We start from the raw sequence: 19,733 nt of genomic DNA on the forward strand, positions 1-19,733 counted from the left end.
TGGTTCTAGAGTCACGAAAGCTGGTAGACCATGACATCATGGTCCATAGGCAGTGTGAGCAGGAGATGGGGAACATGCTGAAGAGTTACGCGCCAACTAGGGAATGAGGCAGTGGTGATAATGTAGACAGGTTGCCTTCATTTTTGCCATACTTATCACTGTAGATCCTTCTGGGCTAAAGACAAAAGTACACATGGGGAACCGAGTTAGGGGAGAATCCCAAGGAGAATACAATAGACATGAAATAGTCAGAAGTCAATACAGTGGCAGAGAGGAGAGATAACGTGGTGGACACTGTGGTGTATATCTGATCCCTTTTCAAAGAAGGACTTGCATCCCAGCTGCTTGGGAGGCCATCAGCACCTTCCGGGATTGTGCCTTTTTGCCATGGGCAGCCCACATACACTGATGGAACAATAAGAGAGAATAGGGGATCGATTCAGGACCACTCTGAAGGCCCATTTAGCTCAGACTCCCCCTGGGGTTCACTGAGGTTGTCATTTGGCTTGTGCTGCAGCTTGACTTCTCTTTTTGCCCAATCCTACTTCTCCTCCTTTCAAAGCTACTGATCCCAAGCAAATTCCTTAGTCATCATTCTGCTTGAGATGCCCTGCCTCAGGGTCTGCTTTCTGGAGAGCCAACCAGTAACAAATGAGGACTCCCTTATGACCCAGGAAACTATAAAGAAATCTATGCCAGTGAGAGGTACACAAGTTAGGAAATGACTGCATTAGACCAAGTCTAAGAGAGAGAAAGAGAGAAAGAGAAAAAATGTGTGTGTGTGTGTGTGTGTGTGTGTGTGTGTGTGTGTGTGTGTGTTTGGAGTAGGAGGGAGAATTCACAACACACCTAAGGGAATCTCGGCATAGGATTAGAGACACACTAGAGAGACCTACTCCCAACACACAAAAACTGAGAAACTTTCATTGGTGTTTCCCACATGGTGAATTTTCTCCTATTTCATACAAAAAAAAAAAAGTATCGCAGACATCCTGATGTTGAAAAGGACAAAGCAATTTTCAAAAATATATACCATTAATTGCTTTCAGTCTCCACATTCTCTGTACTTCTGAAGTAGAACTCTCCAGACTAAAGTCAAAGGGTGGGCCATGGATAGGCTCATCAGGATCAACCGCAACAATCTCCGCAGATGACATGGTGGGTTTGCAGATGATCACTGTCTTTTTAGGTATGAATGGGCTGTTATCATTCACGTCTTGAAGTATAATGCCCAGTGTCCCCGTACATGTTCTCCCTCCTAGAAAAATGAAAATAAAAATAGTTTTTCTATGTTTTGAGTTTTCACCACAAAAGTATGCACTGAACACATTGAAAAATATTTATTAAGCACCTATAATGTAGAAGTTACAATGACAAGCAGTCACAAGCTATGTCCTCAGGGAATGTTACAAGAAAAATAGTATTACTTTCATATGGGTTGTACAAACAATGACTGCTATTAAGATGTGTTTATTCATTCGCTAAATTATTATTAGAGGCAAGTTTTGGCTGATTTGTGAGAAGAGGAAGGAAGAGAGTATGAATGAGGACACTTCTGGTATATTTAAAAGCACAAGGAAATTCAAGGAGATGGAAACGCACGTTATACACACCCGTGATCTGGAGACAATGACAGGGAAGGTAGACAGGTAGAAACTGACATGGAAGCAGGAGCTAAGGGTCTTTGAAAGCCAGACTAGGGAGCTTAGAGTTTGTTGGATAAATAGGTAGCACTTAGGTTTTGGAGCAAAGAAACTGAAGTTACATATTTGAAAGATTGTAACAAAAATAGTACATGGGAATATTCAAAGGGCAGAAGACTCCAGGAGTAGAAAATTACTTGAAAACTGAAATAATCACTGTGGGTTGTAGCCTAAGTAATTCATCTATCTGTATATTCAATAGAAACTTACAGGATAGACGGGGCACAGTGGCTCACGCCTGTAATCCCAGCACTTTGGGAAGCCGAGGTGGGCAGATCACCTGAGGTCAGGAGTTCGAGACCAGCCTGACCAACATGGAGAAAGCCTATCTCTACTAAAAATACAAAATTAGCCAGGCATGGTGGCACATGCCTATAATATCAGCTACTCGGGAGGTTGAGGCAAGAGAATCGCTTGAACCCGGGAGGCGGAGGTTGCAGTGAGCGGAGATCACACCATTGCACTCCAGCCTGGACAACAAAAGTGAAACTCCATCTCAAAACGAAAAAAAGAAAGAAAAGAAAAGAAAAGAAAGAAAGAAACTTACAGGATGACGACTTTATATAAAGCACTGCACTGGAAAATCTGGGGGATTCAAAGATGAAACAGCCATGGACCCACGCCACAGATTAGTAATGCAGTTGTGAAGTCTGAAACTGAACACAAACCCAGGAGTTCTGTCTCTAAATCATTCATTCTTTCTGTTTAAAAAGAAGGCTTTTGACATTACAGGTGGAAAACAGAATTTAAAAACCCTGTGCCATCCACTGCCTGGGGCTGTGTCTTATATGAAGCTGCCAAGCTCGGGAAGATCTCCGAGCACATCCCTGAAGTCACAACCTCAGCCAGAGCACCTGCAGCACAGCAACTAGACTCGTGATAGAGCCAGCGTCATCATGGGTCAGGAGCACTAGGCCACCAAGTTAAGAACTGGTTCTAAACCGTGGGCCACAGAGAAAGAGCAGGTGAAGGCAACTACAAGACTAGTAGTTAATATGGGCAAAGTGGGAGAGAGGGAAAAAACAAAAACAGAAAGCAAAGCAAACACCTCTCATTTAATATAAGCCTGCAAACTAAAATTCCCAAATAATCAAGATTAACACTAAGAAGGAAAACCAACAAAAGCACCAGTCAAAAGATTAATTCATTCTATCCAAGACGTCTCTGAAACAGGTATGTTTAGAATCTTCAAAGACATAAAGAGGGGTAACCAATTAAACAAGAATGAAATTACAGCTCAAATTCCAGTAGAAAATAAACAGCAACATTTACCTACCAGGGATTCTAAAAAAGAGAATAGACAGAATGGCAGAGAAGCAATAGTTAAAGAGATTAATAGCTGAGAATACTCCAGAATTAAAGAAAAACATGGCTTTTCAGATTGAAAGTATTTTCTGACTGCAGAACTAGACAAATATAAAAAAATCCACGGCATACACATTGTACTAACACTGTAGAACTCAATTTAGGGTACTATAAAAGCTACCTAAATATATTAACTACAAAAGGACAATCGTTAATCGACAGAACAAGAAGCATCAGCAAGAAGAGATACCAGAAGATAATGGGTTAATAGCTGCACAGTGCCATGGGAAAGAAGCTGTTGACTCAGAATTTTAAACCAAGTCAAAGTGTCACTTAAGTATGAGGCCAATATTAAAATATTTTTCAGAACAACAAAACTGAGAGAGTTTAAAATTCACATTCCACAATTGAAAAAAATATAGTAAAGGATGTACTTCAGCAAGAAGAAAAAAGAGCTAGGAGAGAAAACAATGAGAAGCAGGAAACAACGCAACTACCTTCCATTTTTGGACAACTTTGAAAAAGAGTATTTACATTAGAAAAAGGAAGCAGGTGGATAATATATATTTCATGTATCTGGCATATGTTTCTATTCATTAGAGCAGAATAATTTCTGTCCCTCAACTTCTCCTGTTCTCATGCTATGTGGTGTTACCTTGCTCTCTCTGAAAATTGGGACTGCTGGTTGTCTTGAACATTTGTTTCCCTTTGAGTCCACACACACAATTGAGAGCACATGCCTTACCTATTGAATCTGGTTAATTGTGCTATCTTTAAAAACTGAACTCTATAGTGCTTGCTCTTCTACAACTGGGATAAATGCTTCAATTTCCTTCCAGTAGATGTTTACAGTTGCTCACTGATTAAACTCCAATCTTTTTTTGCACATTGTGATTAATACTGTCATAGAAGAACATTTAAGACCTCAGATATCTAATCCACTGTGTTTCATAGCTGTTTTTCATATGCTGATGAGTTATACATACTGTTTTATTCATTGGAATGTCAGCATAAAATGCTCATCTTCTAGTAATAATATAATTCTACATGGACAAAGGCTAATTCCAAATATGAAGTCACATGAGGTGCACTATCCATGGTTTCATGCTTTATGTGCATGATGCTCTTCAGTCAAATGTTTTAAAATAGTTGCAAGTAACCCCATTCTAACAGCTGGAATAATACAATAGAAACATTAATCTCAAGCTCAACTAGATAGAGGTGATTTCTGGGTAAAGCTGCCCACACAATTTAGATTAAGAAGTTAAGAAGAAAAGATAAATTGAATTTAAAGCTTAAGAAATATATATGTTTAGGAGAGGGGAAGGCAGTTAAGACCAGAAAGCATGCAGGAATGTGTGGGCAAGTTTAGACATAGAAGCCTTGAGAGAGAGTTTTAAAAAGAGGAAGCAATTGCTGCGGAGATGTAGGAAGGCAGGAAGTGAGCACCAGCCCAAGACAGCAGTATCCATGAGGGAGGAGAGGTTTCCATTAGGGAGTGGCAGGGAGAACCCAAATGAAATTAGCCAGTATAGATTTTAGAAAAAGGTTTTTCAAAAAATGACACACTTTTGTATAATCTCATTTCATTCAATTCACAAAGTAAACACATGTGGAATTACTGATTCACAGTTCTCTCACACAGAGTAACACAATGACTCCCACCCTCTTCAAAAGAAATGAATGCGAACAGCCTCATTACACATTTATTCTATATCACAATGATGATAAGCAGTGCCCCATCTCAATTCCATAACAAATATTTGATCTCTCAATCACTTAAACTCCTCTGCAACAGACGAGAATGTAGAATAAAATTATAGGCAAAATTTCTAATTTCAGACAGCAATTTTTATCTCAACTGTCAATAAACTATTTCCAAGTGCCGTTGAGTTTCATGTTTTTTTTTTCTTTTCATTTGCCTTTGACCAACAAGTATTTCTTGGCAAAAAGACATGAGAATCTGAGGCCTTAAAGGACAGTCTTTAATTAGTTAAAGACAAATCAATAATGATTACAACTTCAGCAATTTAACAAACTGAGTCATTTCTCATTAATTTACAGAGAACTGGAATACATAAATCATCTTCCAAAATCACTTCTAAATTCTAATTTTGCAAGTTATAGTATAATAATTTGTTTGTTATATTTAGCATATTTATTTTACAAAGACATAAAGTTCAAATTCATGTTATAGAAATTATATTTTATGCACCAAACGCGTCTCATAAATAATCATCATACTCATATTTCTCTCAATTTTATAGAATGCACAGAACATAATTTTACATTTTATATGATTATATGAATTCATAGTGTTTGTCTCTCTAATTTTATAATATACTATTTATTTACCATGATCATAAATATACCATGATTTATTTTTATATAATGTCTTTAATCAGAATTCTAACCCCCAAGTATATTGTTAGCTTCCTGTAAAAAGTTAGAGCTGTTTTCCAGGACTGCACTGTGTAAGTATGTTTTCCAGGACTGCACTATGTAAGTATGTTCTCACTTTCCTACAAAGTGAACACTTTAAGCGAAATAAGTAGATAAACTGAAACAAGTTTTGTTTTTGTTTTTGTTTTGTTTTTGTTTTTGTTTTTGTTTTGAGACAGAGTCTTACTCTGTCGCCCAGGCTAGAGTGCAGTGGCGCGATCTTGGCTAACTGCAACCTCCACCTCCTGGGTTCAAGCAATTCTCCTGCCTCAGCCTCCCGAGTAGCTCGGATTACAGGTGCATGCCACTACACCCAGCTAATTTTTAATATTTTTGGTAGAGACGGGATTTCACCATGTTGGCCAGGCTGGTCTCGAACTCATGACCTCAAGTGATCCTCCAGCCTTAGCCTCCCAAAGTGCTGGGATTACAGGCATGAGCCACCACACCCAGCTGAAACAAGTTTTACTAAAATAATTTTCTCAATTTTTAATAATTTTAACTTTAATAAATTATGGTCTCAAGTGTTTCTAAGAGTAAATTATTTTATAATTACATCTAAAACTGAGAAGGCTATTAGAAAGCAGACATGAGTTAATAAATTATAGTAAACCTCTTACTTTATATTATCAAGAGATATGAAAACAGAGTGCATGTATCCAGCTTTAAAATGTATACTGTTGGCTTAAACACTGAAGATGTATGTAGCCAAGGAAGTATGTAGCTGGCTTAAAGACAAATTCTTACCTTGGTCTGATGCAAGGACTGTAATATTATATATGCCATTTTTGATGGTCTCTGCCTCTCTATCCAGGCTTCTGAAAACTTTGATTGATCCTGTATTTTCATCAATGGTGACCCACCCTGTTGGATCAGTTAATTTCTTATACCTGTTGGTAATGATGAATTAAAATAATAAAATTTATCATATGCTAAATTATAATAACGTAACAAAATAAGCTATATATTTTAAAACTAAAATAGAATGGTAAGTACCTTATGCCACTGCTACTTCTTGTTTCTGGGTCATATGCTTTATATCCATTGCTTGTTGTTCCCACTTCTGCATTTTCTTTCATGCGAACAGTCTGTATTGGAGGGTTACACTCAGGGCCCTCATCCTGATCTTCTACATTAACAGTAACTGTTGCTGTGCTCATGGCTGATCTTGGACTAGCCTCTCTGGAAAATGGAGCTTCATTAACTACACCAATTTGCAAGATCATCTGTTGCTTTTCTTCATAATTCAAAGGCTACGAAAGCAAATGTATTGAAAAATCAGATGAACTCATTTAATATTTGGCAATGCTAACGAGTATATATAATGTTAAATTTGGAAATATGTTAAGTGTCATGTTGGGAATAACCACGAGAATATGAAACATATATCCAGTGATATGGTTTGGCTCTGTGTCGCCACCCACATCTCATGTCAAATTGTAATTCCCAATGTTGGGGGAGGGACCTGAGGGAAGGTGATTGGATCATGGGGGTGGATTTCCCCACTGCTCATGATAGTGAGTGAGTTCTCACAAGATCTGGTTGTTCAAAAGTGTGTAGCACATCCCCCTTTGCTCTGTCTCTCCTGTTGCCATGTGAAGATGGGCTTGCTTCCCCTTTGCCTTCCGCCATGATTATAAGTTTCCTGAGGCCTACCTAGTCATGCCTCCTACACAGCCTGTGGAACTGCGAGTCAGTTAAACCTCTTTTGTTTATAAACTATCCAGTCTCAGGTAGTTCTTTATAACAATGTGAGAACAGACTAATACACCCAGAAACCCAGTGGTGGTGGAGACAGAGGAGTTCTCCCACTGATTCAGTACTTGGGTAAAGCTGGAAAAAAAAAAGGACAGAAAATTGTTCTTCAACTGCAAATTTAAGATAAGTAGTATAACAGGTATTGATGAAGATTTCAGAGAGTATTTAATGAGGGTTCTTGGATATTAATACATGAGATACTCCTTTAGGGGATTCATACTATAAACAATAGTTATTTACTACAAAATAAATTTTAGGACAGCTTGTCTTACCCTCCTAAGATGAATAAAATTATTTGTACCTGGTATGAGGAAGAGAAAAAAATGGGTAAATTTTTTTAAAATGCTTTTAAGAGGAGCAAGACAAGAAAATACAAAGCTTATGGGCATCATATTTTCTTTTTTTATGTGTGTCTTCCATTCCAGTTCCTGTCTTAAAGACGGGAACATATTTAATAAAAGGTTTTATTTTATCTTGCCTGATATGTAGTTGTAATGAGAATTAGTGAAACCATGCCCTAGAAGACAGAAATTTTTTCAGGTCTTGGACTTCACACAAATTTCCTTCTGAGAATACCAAGGATTAGGGGAGGGGTTAGGTGAAGAAAGAGACAAGATTTAAAGGAAATTTCTCTGCTATTTTAAAATAGAGAAAATAATATAAAAACAGCAGCTGATTTTCATCATTGTAAGGAAAATGGATTCATCATTTTTTAATCCATGGTCCTTGTGAATATATACAAAAAGAAAACGGCATAGACCCACTGTAAAACCATGTTCTGGTTAAAGATGCAGCAGAAATAAGTCTATAAATTTGTCCAAGGCTAAAGGAGCTCAGATTGCTTTATGCACTAACTCTGGCTGCTGAAATAGTATTAGAAAGAAGTTTTAGAAGTGTTTGCATTGTTGAATCACTGAGGATTTTCATTCTGAACCTGGATGCTAAGGATGTAATATATACTGAATATGATGAACAAACCTATGAATAACCTCTCCATGGGGCTGACCAAGAGTAACTCTTGATTTGGGAAATTCAGTAAGTAAATAAAGGCTCCTTGACCCAAACACAGAAAAACTGGGCTAGGAAAAGTCTGGCACTGTCCCAGGGGCATCAAAGCTGTGCTAGTTTTTGAACCATTTAAAGATATTGGTTACAAAATAGATATTGTATTATATGGACTTTTTAAAAAAAAAAATACCTAAACAAAAGATTATCAAAAACTAATATATTCTTTCCATTGTATATGAAGAACAGAGCATTTGCATTTACTTATATACCTATTTTATTCTACATTTATCAGAATTCCTTTCTTTCCATTAAATTCTAGCATGCTATTCTATGATATTATAAACTACAAATAATGTTCTAATTTATTCTTACCTTAACTACACAAAGAACTCCTTCATTGGTTTTGGCATCTGTTACAATTTTAAAATTGCCATTTTCATTGCCCTTTAAAATGGTATAATTAGCTCTCCAGTTAGCAGTATTCACTAAGTCCTTATCCTCAACAGTAACTCGTAAGATTTCCACATCAACTGTATTTTCTTCCACTGATGTCACATACTAAAATAATAAAAGCAAACAAAAAATTTCGTTAGTAACTCTCACAAAAATTGAACACGATGTGAAGTAAATCCTACTCTTCTAATTTCCAAAGTACTATGTTTACATGATTTGAAACCCTAGCACTATACAACTTTTAATGTCACTGGGGCACTTCATTTGAAATCATGAGGGGTGGATGGGGATGTGCATTTTTTTCTTTTCCTTCACTGCAACCTCTGCCTTCCACGTTCAGGCGATTCTCCTGCCTCAGCTTCCCGAGTAGATGGGATTACAGGTGCCTGTCACCATGCCCGGCTAATTTTTGTATTTTCTGTAGAGACGGGATTTCACCATGTTGGCCAGGCTGTTCTCAAACTCCTGACCTCAGGTGATCCGCCCGCCTCGGCCTCCCAAAGTGCTGAGATTACAGGCGTGAGCCACTGCGCCAGGCCAGAGATGTGCATATTAAACAATTAAAACTGGTCTATACATTTTTCTTTAATTAATATCATACACTTACAGAAGTACGAGTAAATGTTGGCAAGTGGTCATTTACATCATCAATGTTAATGATACAAGTTGAAGTTGTCTGTAGACCAAAATACTGACCATCCATGTCTTGTACTTTTATTTTCAACTGGTACTTGTCAATTAACTGAAAACAAAAAAAGAATTTAATTATTGGGGGAAAGCACCAACATTATAATTGAAATCTTACTTTACACTCCATAATTTTTTTGCACTAAGAATTTAAGAAGTGCATTATTACATTTCACAGCATTCGTGTATTAGAAGAATTTTCTCTCACTAGTAATTTTTCTTTTCTTTTCTTTCTTTTTCTTTTCTGAGACGAAGTCTCGCTCTGTTGCCCAGGCTGGAGTGCAGTGGTGTGATCTTGGCTCACTGCAACCTCTGCCTCCCGGGTTCAAGCGAGGCAGGAGAATCACACTAGGAATTTTTAATCAATTTATGAAAATTGAATAGTTTCTCAAATTTATAGTGCTATTAACTTACAGAATATAGATTCAATTGGTTTTGTCTTTATTCAACAGAAAAAGAAGAGCTATTTGCCACAAGTGCATTTAAAATTGCCTGGTAATTAATCAAAACCTTTATCTCCTAGCCAAAGTACATTCTTATGTTCAAAAAAATAGACAGCAATGACTCTTAAAATAGTCTTTTAACAAAACAATAAAATGAAATTTCTTCCTGCAAAAAATATAGATTTTAAGGGTTTATGTTACATTTAAGAGATCATCTAAACTGACATGAAGATAAAGGTCTGGGGCTATGTAGGTTTTTTTCTTTCTGTGGAAAATAGAATCTGGCTCTTAAGGCTTTCAATTTATCAGATATTGTTGAAAACTCATCACTACCTTAAAAAATATTTTTAAACATCTGAAGCATTTAAATATTTTAAAGTGTTTCTCCTTATAACTTTCATTTATCATAAGTGATTGAGATATGGGAGAATTAAAAACAATACAGTAATAATGCTTTCCGGACTGAGCATTAGGAGACTTGGGTTCTATTTCCAACTCCAAAAATAAGAGACACAATCTTGGGCAATTGGAAAATTCACTTTGTCTAGGTTTCTTCTTCTATAAGATGGTGATGCTTACCTTTCCTACCTAATTTATCTCTTTTCATAAGACAAAATAGCATGTTAAAATCTATCCTCATCTTCTACCTAGAATGTTCACCCTTCTCTTACAAAGATTCTTCCCTTAATTCCATCATCTCTGAAACTTTCTTTTCCTTAGGCATTATCTAAAATAAAACTAAAGTTTCTCTTGATCTTCCTGCTTTTAACACACATAATTTTCCAGATTTACTCCTCCCTCATAACCAATCACATGTGTAGACTTGAAAAATAATGGCCTTATTTCAACTGAAAAATTTTAAAACATCATGCTACTGTACTTTCAAGAAGGAATACATATTTTGTTTGTAGTGAACTAAAATTTATTGGAAATAATTAACTGGCTAATGAAACAAGGAAATGAAGTTTGATACCCTAAGTATTAACTTATGCTATCTTCAGATGGAAGAGAAATTCTGATGTTTAAAGGGACTAAAAGGTTGTAGGCAACTGAAGAAAACCGGAATCCTGAGGTCAAAAAGTTACTAGAGAGCACCACTGGATAAACACCTTCACTGGACAAGTGTTTTCAACTGATTATTTCAGAAGAATCTATTCAAAGAAAAGCACTTCTGTGATTGTTTGATTTAGGAGCTGAACAAGCTGTTGAGTTTTTGCTTTTTTTTTTTTTCCATAGAATGCTATTTTCACATAGACATCTATGGCTATGCAGACTATAGTTTTATGAAAGTATTTTGTAAAACATAAAGTTAATCTGTCACTTCAGGGAAAACAACTATTTGTTGCCAATGATAAATTGGAGATTTCAAACAAAAATGAGAAGCTTGGAAAACCTTTATCAACCAATGTGATATCAATGGAAGTAAAGAGGTGATCTTTTTGATATTATTTAATGCAATGTGTCAATATTTGGAAGCTCTGCATTACTTGGTGAACCAATATTTTCCAAATGACCAATGCACAATATAGAATGATGTACTGGTAAAATGGTCACTCAAAGTGTAAGATAGAGCAATGGATTTTAACGTAATAAAGTACAAAAGGTCATTGTTGAGGATTCAGAGTCCACATTACCAAAAACATTTAGGAAACAAGCTACTCCTTATCAAGTATTCATGTAGTATCAAGGAATAATATCCACAGTGATCTGTAATTATCATCAAAATACTACTCTCTTTTCTAATTTTATATCATGTCAGATTGCCTTTATATATGCTTCAGCTAAAACTACATATTGTAACAGACTAAATGCAGAAGGAGATATGAGAATCCACCTGTCTTAAGCAAAATACTAAAAACATTTGGAAAAATGCATAACAATGTCATTCTTCCCACTAAATTGTACTGTTTTGGAAAATGTACTTATTTTGTAAGTACAAAAAGAAGAAAAAGTGTAACAATTTTTACTGTTATTTTATAAGAATTTTAACTGTTAACATGTAATTAATTTATTATTTTTAATATTTAAATTAATATATAATTTAAACTTTCCTTAGTTTTAAACATTAACAAGTAACATAGATAAATATAACCTAGATAAATAAAAGATCTTTGGGATTTTCAACAATATTTAACACTGTTAACAGTATTCAACAATATTTAACAATATGTAATAATGTCAAGCATTGGTCTTGAGACCAAAGCTTTTGAGAACCTCTACCCTAATCCATGAGGGATAGAGGAAGGAAGAGAAAATTAATCTGAAGATTTAAGACTTAAGAATCAAATAAAATACCTGATAAACATCTATTACTATATTTTAAGATTAAGGATTATAAATATAGTAAATAAGGACACAGAAACTGCTATAAGAATTTAGATGAATAATGCTTCAGGGAGGAGGTAATAGTTGAATAACTAAGTGAATGAATTACTAAGCTAGGGTATTGCAGTAGAAAGAGACAGAATATAGATTTAAAACAATCTTGGAGGTAAAAACATGCTTTAGGAAGTGATGTGATTCAGGGGGGCCAAGAGACATCAAATACAATTTGGAGACCATGACTCCAAGGTGACAATAGAAAATGATTAATAGAGAAAGAATATATAAATATCTTTTTAACTAGAAAACATAGAATGGAAAATATGTTTAGAAGAAAAGAAGACAAGTTAAATTTTAGATTTATTACATCATAAGTACCTGTCAGACATCCAAATCAAGATTTCTAGCAGTTGATTAAAAATGGGAAACCAGAGATTAGAGAGACATAAACTGTCTTTTCATCTATGTAAGAGGTAGAATGTAGATGAGATTGTTGAAAAGATAACAAATTTCTGCATATATTTAAAAGGTTCACTTTTCATATTTGACATTTTGTTTTAATACTGTAAATATGTTTATATCAGGAAATCTGATTGTATGAAACAAACAATTCAGAAAAGAATGAATTAGCAGTTCAAAACCAGCATACTCCAAGGTTATTTAGTGATCTCTATTAACATACATAAAATAATAATGTTTCTAAAATGAGATTCACAACATACTTTTCAAAAACACATCTACAGGAGTTATACAGGTACTATTGAATAGCCACGTTATAATCAGGTTTTATTAATGTTTATGTTACCTCTCTGTCTAGCTGAGATGATGTTGTGGTGATCACGCCTGTAGTTGGATGCATAGAAAATAGGGTGGGTGATGGTGGCACCTGCCCAATGATGGAGTACTTCAGGCGTGTGTGCATCGTGTCAGGCTCATCTTTGTCAGTAGCACACACTTGTCCCACAGTAGTGCCTAGAGAAGAAAAGTCCTTTTTAATCTCCAAAACATTCACATGTTCTATGTTCCCTTTATTTCATTCCTTTTCACCCACCTCAAAAAAGTTCTGGACCACATTATTACATGGCAAAGTCATGGCTTTTATAAATTTGCAGACCTCTCCATACAGTATCACTTCCTTTCAAATATTCTGGCATACTAGCATTTTCGAATTGGGTGATCATATTCATATTTATTGTATTTAATGTATGATTTTATAAATGTTGATACTATCCCTCCATGTATTTTCAGACTAAACAATTCTGATTATTCTATAACTTTTCTCTGTTTGTAAGCTTGTGCTTAGATTGATCATAGGAGTCAGTTTTCTCTAAAACTGCATGGTTCACTTAGACATTTCTAGACAAGGTCTCCAAAACTGCATTCTGACTTTTAGTTAAAACAGACCATTTTCACAGGGCTGAGAAAATGTTTGTATTATTCTCAGTGACTTTCATAATCGTGCCCAGAATACTGGCAATCACATTTAATCCTAGAGAACATCCGTACATATCTTTAAGACTACATCTCCAATTAGTGAAAGACTTATTCTTTTTGGGCTATGTTCTCTTACATCCATCCATCCATAGGATGACAGCATAACATTTATTAACTCCTATTTGTCAGGCACTGTGCTTGGCATTCGCTGTGTATTGAGCTTCACTTCATCTTCATAACAATCTGGCATACTGATAACCCATTTTACAGATGAAGAAATTAGGCTTGCCAAGATTAGGAAATTTGCCAAGCATCACACAGCTAGTGAAACACAGAGTAAAATTCCACCCAGAGTCCCTTATTCTTGCTGCTGGGATACGCTGCTTCTCAACGGACATAGTGAAACTAAATGTATGAATTGAAACACAGTTAATTTGCCATATATTGTTTAAGGAGGTACTCACCCACTCTGCAATTTTCAAAAATTGTAAAAGTATAAGTTTCTTCTGTAAAAATTGGGTAGTTATCATTTTCATCCTCTATTTTGATTATTAGGGGCAGTGGAAGTTCTGGAGTATACCCATCTGGAGTTGTTGCAAAGGCAATTATCTGTGAAGAGAGTAAAATAAGGAGAAAAGTGAAAATAATCTTTTAAAATGAGGTATGCTTCAAATTCATTTTGGCTTTAACTTGGAGACTGTTCAGAACTACAGTATGAGTCTCACCATTTGTTATTGTTCTGGGATATGGATATAATTTTAATGCCAAAGAGGTGCCTAATTTCATGATTCAATATGGCATTGTATGTTTAAATTTATCTCTTTAAATTTATGAAAGATAATTTTAGTTTCTTCATTATTGCTATACTGTTATTCATGAGTGTAACAATTTTTACTGTTATTTTCCCAAACAGCCTTGAAGACTTCTTTATTTTGCTTTGTTTGAAAGGTTCAGGTGCATGGATTTTAAATACAACTTTCTGGATCTTTCTGAACTTGGGATCCTGTAGGATTACCCAGGTACAGTTAACTGGGATATTATCCTATTTTCTACTAATGAGGACTTTAGGCATATCAATGGTTACATTTGGGTAAGTCTTTTCAAAGAATTTTTAATTTAAAAAGGGTGAATCAGAAATGAAACAAATGAATGGTGGTAAACTGTGGTGGAATACAGTTTAATTTTTTTGTTTTTATAATATGAATTTCAATACCAATTTTCTCATAACAGCTATCATAGAAAGGCCAGAACATCCTAGGTACTCAGAAGGCCAGGCCATGGCAATTCTAAACCTAAATACTTTATTCAAAGCTTGCCTGTCTTATTTGATTAATTTGGTCTTCTAATGAATAATTAATTCATCCAAAATAGACATAAAATAATTAAAACTGACTTAAGCAAAATGACCAAGTCCTGTTGGGAAATCAAACCAGCATTAGGTTAAATTCTTTCATATTAACTCACTTTCCAGCATAGGAAATTAACCAGATGATTAAAGGACTGAGTAAGCTTAGGTAAGCACTGTCACACCCCCTACCTGCTCCCCATAAACTAATGCTCTCCCATTGCCAGGGTACTGAGGTTTACTTAATGACTGAACTTCATTTACCTCCTATGATATCTCCATACTATAAAGAGGTTCACAGATCTTTTTGTGCCAACTAAGTAACTGTTCTTGGCCGGGCACGGTGGCTCAGTCCTGTAATCCCAGCACTTTGGGAGGCCGACATGGGCAGATCACCTGAGGTCAAGAGCTTGAGACCAGCCTGGCCAACATGGTGAAACCCCATCTCTACTAAAAATACAAAAAATTAGCTGGGTATCATGGTGCGTGCCTGTGATCCCAGCTACTCAGGAGGCTAAGGTGGGAGGATCACTTGAACCCCGGAGCCAGAGATTGCAGTGAGCCGAGATTACGCCACTGCACTTCAGCCTGGGTGGCAAAGTGAGATGCTGTCTCAAAAAAAAAAAAAAAAAAACTGTTCTTCAAAGTGGTACTGTTGTGGGGGAAAAAAAAATAGTAAAACCATAATACCAGGAACAATCTAATGGAATCCAATATTATTTATTCTATGAAAATATTTTTTGTTTCAAGTCAATTATGTGCTATTAGGGAGTAGCCAGAGCATTGGTGACAAACTCAGAAAGCAGAAAAGGTTACGTGAATTGCAAATGAGAGACAAAATGGCCAAGCATCATCATTGCTAATACAGTACACACATTTTAGACTTTACCTCAAAAGATTCATACTGCTCACGATCTACAGGACGAGTACAATACAAGTTTCCAGTGTCTCTCTCCACATAAAATAAATTCCGAGGTTCTTGGTCAACTCCAGGACCTCTTATGGAATAGTATATGGTATAGTTTTGGGCCGTGTCAGATTGAACCTAGAAAGTAGATATTATATACATGAGACAAATCTTTATTTCAGCAGAGCTTTCATCTATATATTTATGAAATCTCATTGCCATTTTATTAGTTTAAATAATTGCCCTTAATTTATTATTATATATAAATTAAAACAGCAATAGAATAAGAAAGTCCAATTGAGAAATTTCAAGAGCAAGGCATGAGTAAAATAATGTAGTGCATCTTAGTTCTCCAGAATAACTAAAGGAATATTTGACAGGCTAGATGGTGTCTATACATGGAAAAAACACTTAAGACTCTTCCTGTCTTAGAAAACAAAGTATTCTGAGCATGGAAAATTATTCTGTCGTCAATGTTTTAAAAAACTGAGTTTTTATTATATGTAACATAACATTTAAGAACCGAGTTTAAAGTGTACTGTCTGCAGGGCAAAAATGTGGACAATAATTTCCTTAATGAGTTTTTTGTTCTTTGCCAACATCTTCCTTATAGGAACTGAGTAAAAAAAAAAATATGAGTGAGAATAGAAATGGAATAATATTTTGGAATGTGTAATATTCTGATCCTTGATTCGAAAAGCAAATTTCCTCCAAGCTGTGTTCATCCTCTCAGTAACATCCTATCTTTATATCAGGATAACTGACACAACTGTTTTCTAACAATTTCTCAACTTTAATATGCTCTTCTCTCAGCTGTATTAAATTTGTTGGTGGGGTATAAAAAGGATTCTCCCTTGCTATGTCAAGAACTGAGGGAAAATAAACCAAAGTCATAGACTGAATGTAGTAGCCACCAGTAATGGAAGAAGGCAAGAAGGCTTGCTGGGGTTTCTACTGAAAGTTAAAACAAGACAGAGAAAAAGAGCCAGGTATGCTTGGCTCATGCCTGTAATCCCAGCATTTTGGGAGGTTGAGATGGGAGATCATTTCAGCCTAGGAGTTCAAAACCAGCCTAAGCAACATAGTGAGATCTCATCGCTACAAAAAAAAAGAAACAAAAAGAGACAGAGACAGAGAGAGAGAGAAAGAAATGTGGATCCAGTGTGATTTCAGATGTAGATTCAAGAACAAGAAATAGAAAGATAGAAGGGCCTATGTGTCTTCCTCCTTCGTGGCATTTGGTCTTTCATCCAATTTTCTCCTTTATTATGCAAGAGAGTTTTGGGTTTTCTAGCTATTCTTAGGCTTGGCGATACCCTTGCTGATGTGACAATTCATTAAGGAACCATGTGTCTGAGTGCCACAGTTTTATGCTTGGCCTTTGCAAGCTGAACAAAAGTGTATGCAAGTATAAAGAGATATATTTATACCCTTATATGGAAACATATTATACACATACTCATTCACTCACATATTTATACACAACTATTACAAATAACTTCATACTCAGTGTCATAATGGTAAGAGATGGAAACTATAGACTCCCACAGCAGAAAGAAAGAAAACGGTACCTGTTGAAGGAAAAGTGGAAAAGGACCCAAGGAGTTTTCTAGCATCGAACAAGGAATTGGAGCCCATCTTCTCTTGGCGCGCCTTAGAACTTTTTCTTTAGTATGTCTTTTCTTTAGGACCTCAATTCATAAGACAGGAAAAAATAATAAAGTCAATGACTACTTTATTCTCAAACATTAAACAATGACACATCTTTCTCCTCTCAGGAGGATTAGCTGGGTAGGGGTGAGACCATGGGAGTGCTTGAAAACCAAACTAATCATCAACACTGCAAAAAGATAATGAAGAAGTAACTGTCCTAACTGTTATCACAACAATCCTCTTGGGAAAATGATTTGGTGGAAATATGGAAGAAAGAGAGATGGAACTGGAAGCCTAGAAGCAAAACTGAAAAAAAAATTACTGTTGCCCCATTGCCATGCAAAAACATGGGAGAGAGATATGCAAAGAAAATAAGTGTGTATGTGCCCTTCTAAATTTAGCACAAGCAACTTCCACTCACCAGCAACTAGGCAGAGCCAGGGAACCAACAGAGAGATCTGTGTCAGAATGAGGAGAGAAACACGGTGACAACTCTCAAACTGCTGCAGTGAGGAATGGCTAATGGTTGAATACAAGTTATTTTGATCTTGGGTGTCACAACACAATAGCATGCATGTGGTCCAAACCTCCTCCTAAAATAGTTATCTATGTTTTAAGACCACAGATTATGCTAAAATGAATGCGAGAAAAAAGCTTTCCTTTCTTTATACAGAGTTTCAAAACTTGTTGTTAGAAATCCATTCTACGGTAAAGCTCAAAAAAAAAATGCTGCTTTGTGTCTAATCTCACTTTCCCATGCTGTACCTTATCCCAATTTCTCCTTTTACGTCCCAAATGAAAAGGAATGACAACCCGAATGAACCATGTGACACAGCCCTTTTCCTTCTAAACACTGTGAAGTTGCCTCATGGTTTTCATTCGTCTTTAAGCCAAACTATACCATATCCTTTCTGATTTCATATCTTCCCTGGTAATGTTGATTACGTCTGAAGAAAAGATATCATTTCTTCATTTATGTAGCCTTGTATACCTTTGTTTGATGCTCCAAAAAGACAAATATTTTCTTCTTTTCTTGGTTCTCAGTGTTGGAAAGTAATATGGTAAAACTTCTCTTCTCCGAGGACAATAGAATAGTATTTGTTGTATAGACTGAACCATCCTCCAAAATTTGGAAGTCAGGATCACTTGAATGAATTAGATTTGCAGCTGTAAAGCACTCTTTCAGGTTAACTGTAGAAAATATGCACAGCAATCATTTTTAAAGTAAAACATAGGATATAGTTTTAACAGTAATGTATGCACGTGGGGAGAGCCAAAAACTTAAAATTCATTATACTGACACTTGTAAATTTTTGAAAGGACACATAAAACTATATGGTGAATTAAGTTGTGCTTAAATACTTACATCACTTCTAATACCTACTTAACATTCTCTTAAAGAAGAGACATTTGCTCTGAAGTAAACATATGTGAGCTCCAGTGTTTGAATCTTTAAACCAAAACCAAAACAATTTTTTTCTTTATCAACAGAAATAAGCTATAGAGTAACACCTAAATACACCTGAAGTTATACAGAATCTAGCAGATGAAAATTGGCATTTGCTAAATGAAAATATTACTAAATTCTTTACATCTATTGCTAAACAGTGATCACATTTTATGCTATCATTGGATTGATCTTTTCTTACAGAATTATGTGAAATAATTTAATTGATAAAAAAATACAATACAGAGTGAAATATTTAAGAATAAAAATCCAAAAACAGTATCTTTAAACTAAAAAAAACAGTTTCAGTACTATTTCTCAATTTTTTAGAGGCATGTTAAATGTCTTTATCTTTTCTCTAAAGTAAATGTTAATAATTATTACTCAAGTGAAATATTTTTATCAACTTCATATAATCATGTTTTCCAAAAATAACAATATTCCTTTCATTAGAATGACACCACAAATATTACAAATGATAATATACTACATTAGTTTTATCTACTGGTCCCAACAGAGTTATCATTCTAAAAATTACACTAATTTTAAAATACCACAGCAAATCAGGATTTATTTTGTATGTGTGTTTTTATTTTAAGTTTCAGGGTACATGTGCAGGATGTGCAGGTTTGTTACATAGGTAAACACATGCCATGTTGGTTTGCTGCACCTATCAACCCATCACCTAGGTATTAAACTCAGCATGCATTAGCTATTTTTCCTGATGCTCTCGCCCTCCCAGAACCCCCAACAAGCCCCACTTGTGTTGTTCCCCACTCTGTGCCTACATGTTCACATTGCTCAGCTCCCACTTATAAGTGAGAAC

At 35.4% G+C, this 19,733-nt stretch overlaps 1 protein-coding gene across 4 annotated transcripts in view; it reads right to left on the minus strand.

Moving 5' to 3' along the window:
* Positions 1 to 19,733, minus strand: part of DSC2 (desmocollin 2) — a 43,582-nt gene that overhangs the window by 14,810 nt on the left and 9,039 nt on the right. For all 4 annotated transcript variants that reach the window (NM_024422.6, NM_004949.5, NM_001406506.1 and 1 more), the window contains exons 3-12: positions 18,452 to 18,651; positions 17,379 to 17,498; positions 15,790 to 15,945; positions 14,020 to 14,164; positions 12,927 to 13,093; positions 9,277 to 9,411; positions 8,589 to 8,774; positions 6,447 to 6,703; positions 6,198 to 6,340; positions 1,034 to 1,258 (exon numbers count right to left, since the gene is read on the minus strand). In NM_024422.6, the coding sequence (NP_077740.1) occupies positions 1,034 to 1,258; positions 6,198 to 6,340; positions 6,447 to 6,703; positions 8,589 to 8,774; positions 9,277 to 9,411; positions 12,927 to 13,093; positions 14,020 to 14,164; positions 15,790 to 15,945; positions 17,379 to 17,498; positions 18,452 to 18,651 (1,734 nt within the window). The remainder of the gene's footprint in view (positions 1 to 1,033; positions 1,259 to 6,197; positions 6,341 to 6,446; positions 6,704 to 8,588; positions 8,775 to 9,276; positions 9,412 to 12,926; positions 13,094 to 14,019; positions 14,165 to 15,789; positions 15,946 to 17,378; positions 17,499 to 18,451; positions 18,652 to 19,733) is intronic.

Source organism: Homo sapiens, chromosome 18 (assembly GCF_000001405.40).
Source record: "Homo sapiens chromosome 18, GRCh38.p14 Primary Assembly".
In the NCBI taxonomy this organism is placed as follows: Eukaryota; Metazoa; Chordata; class Mammalia; order Primates; family Hominidae; genus Homo; species Homo sapiens.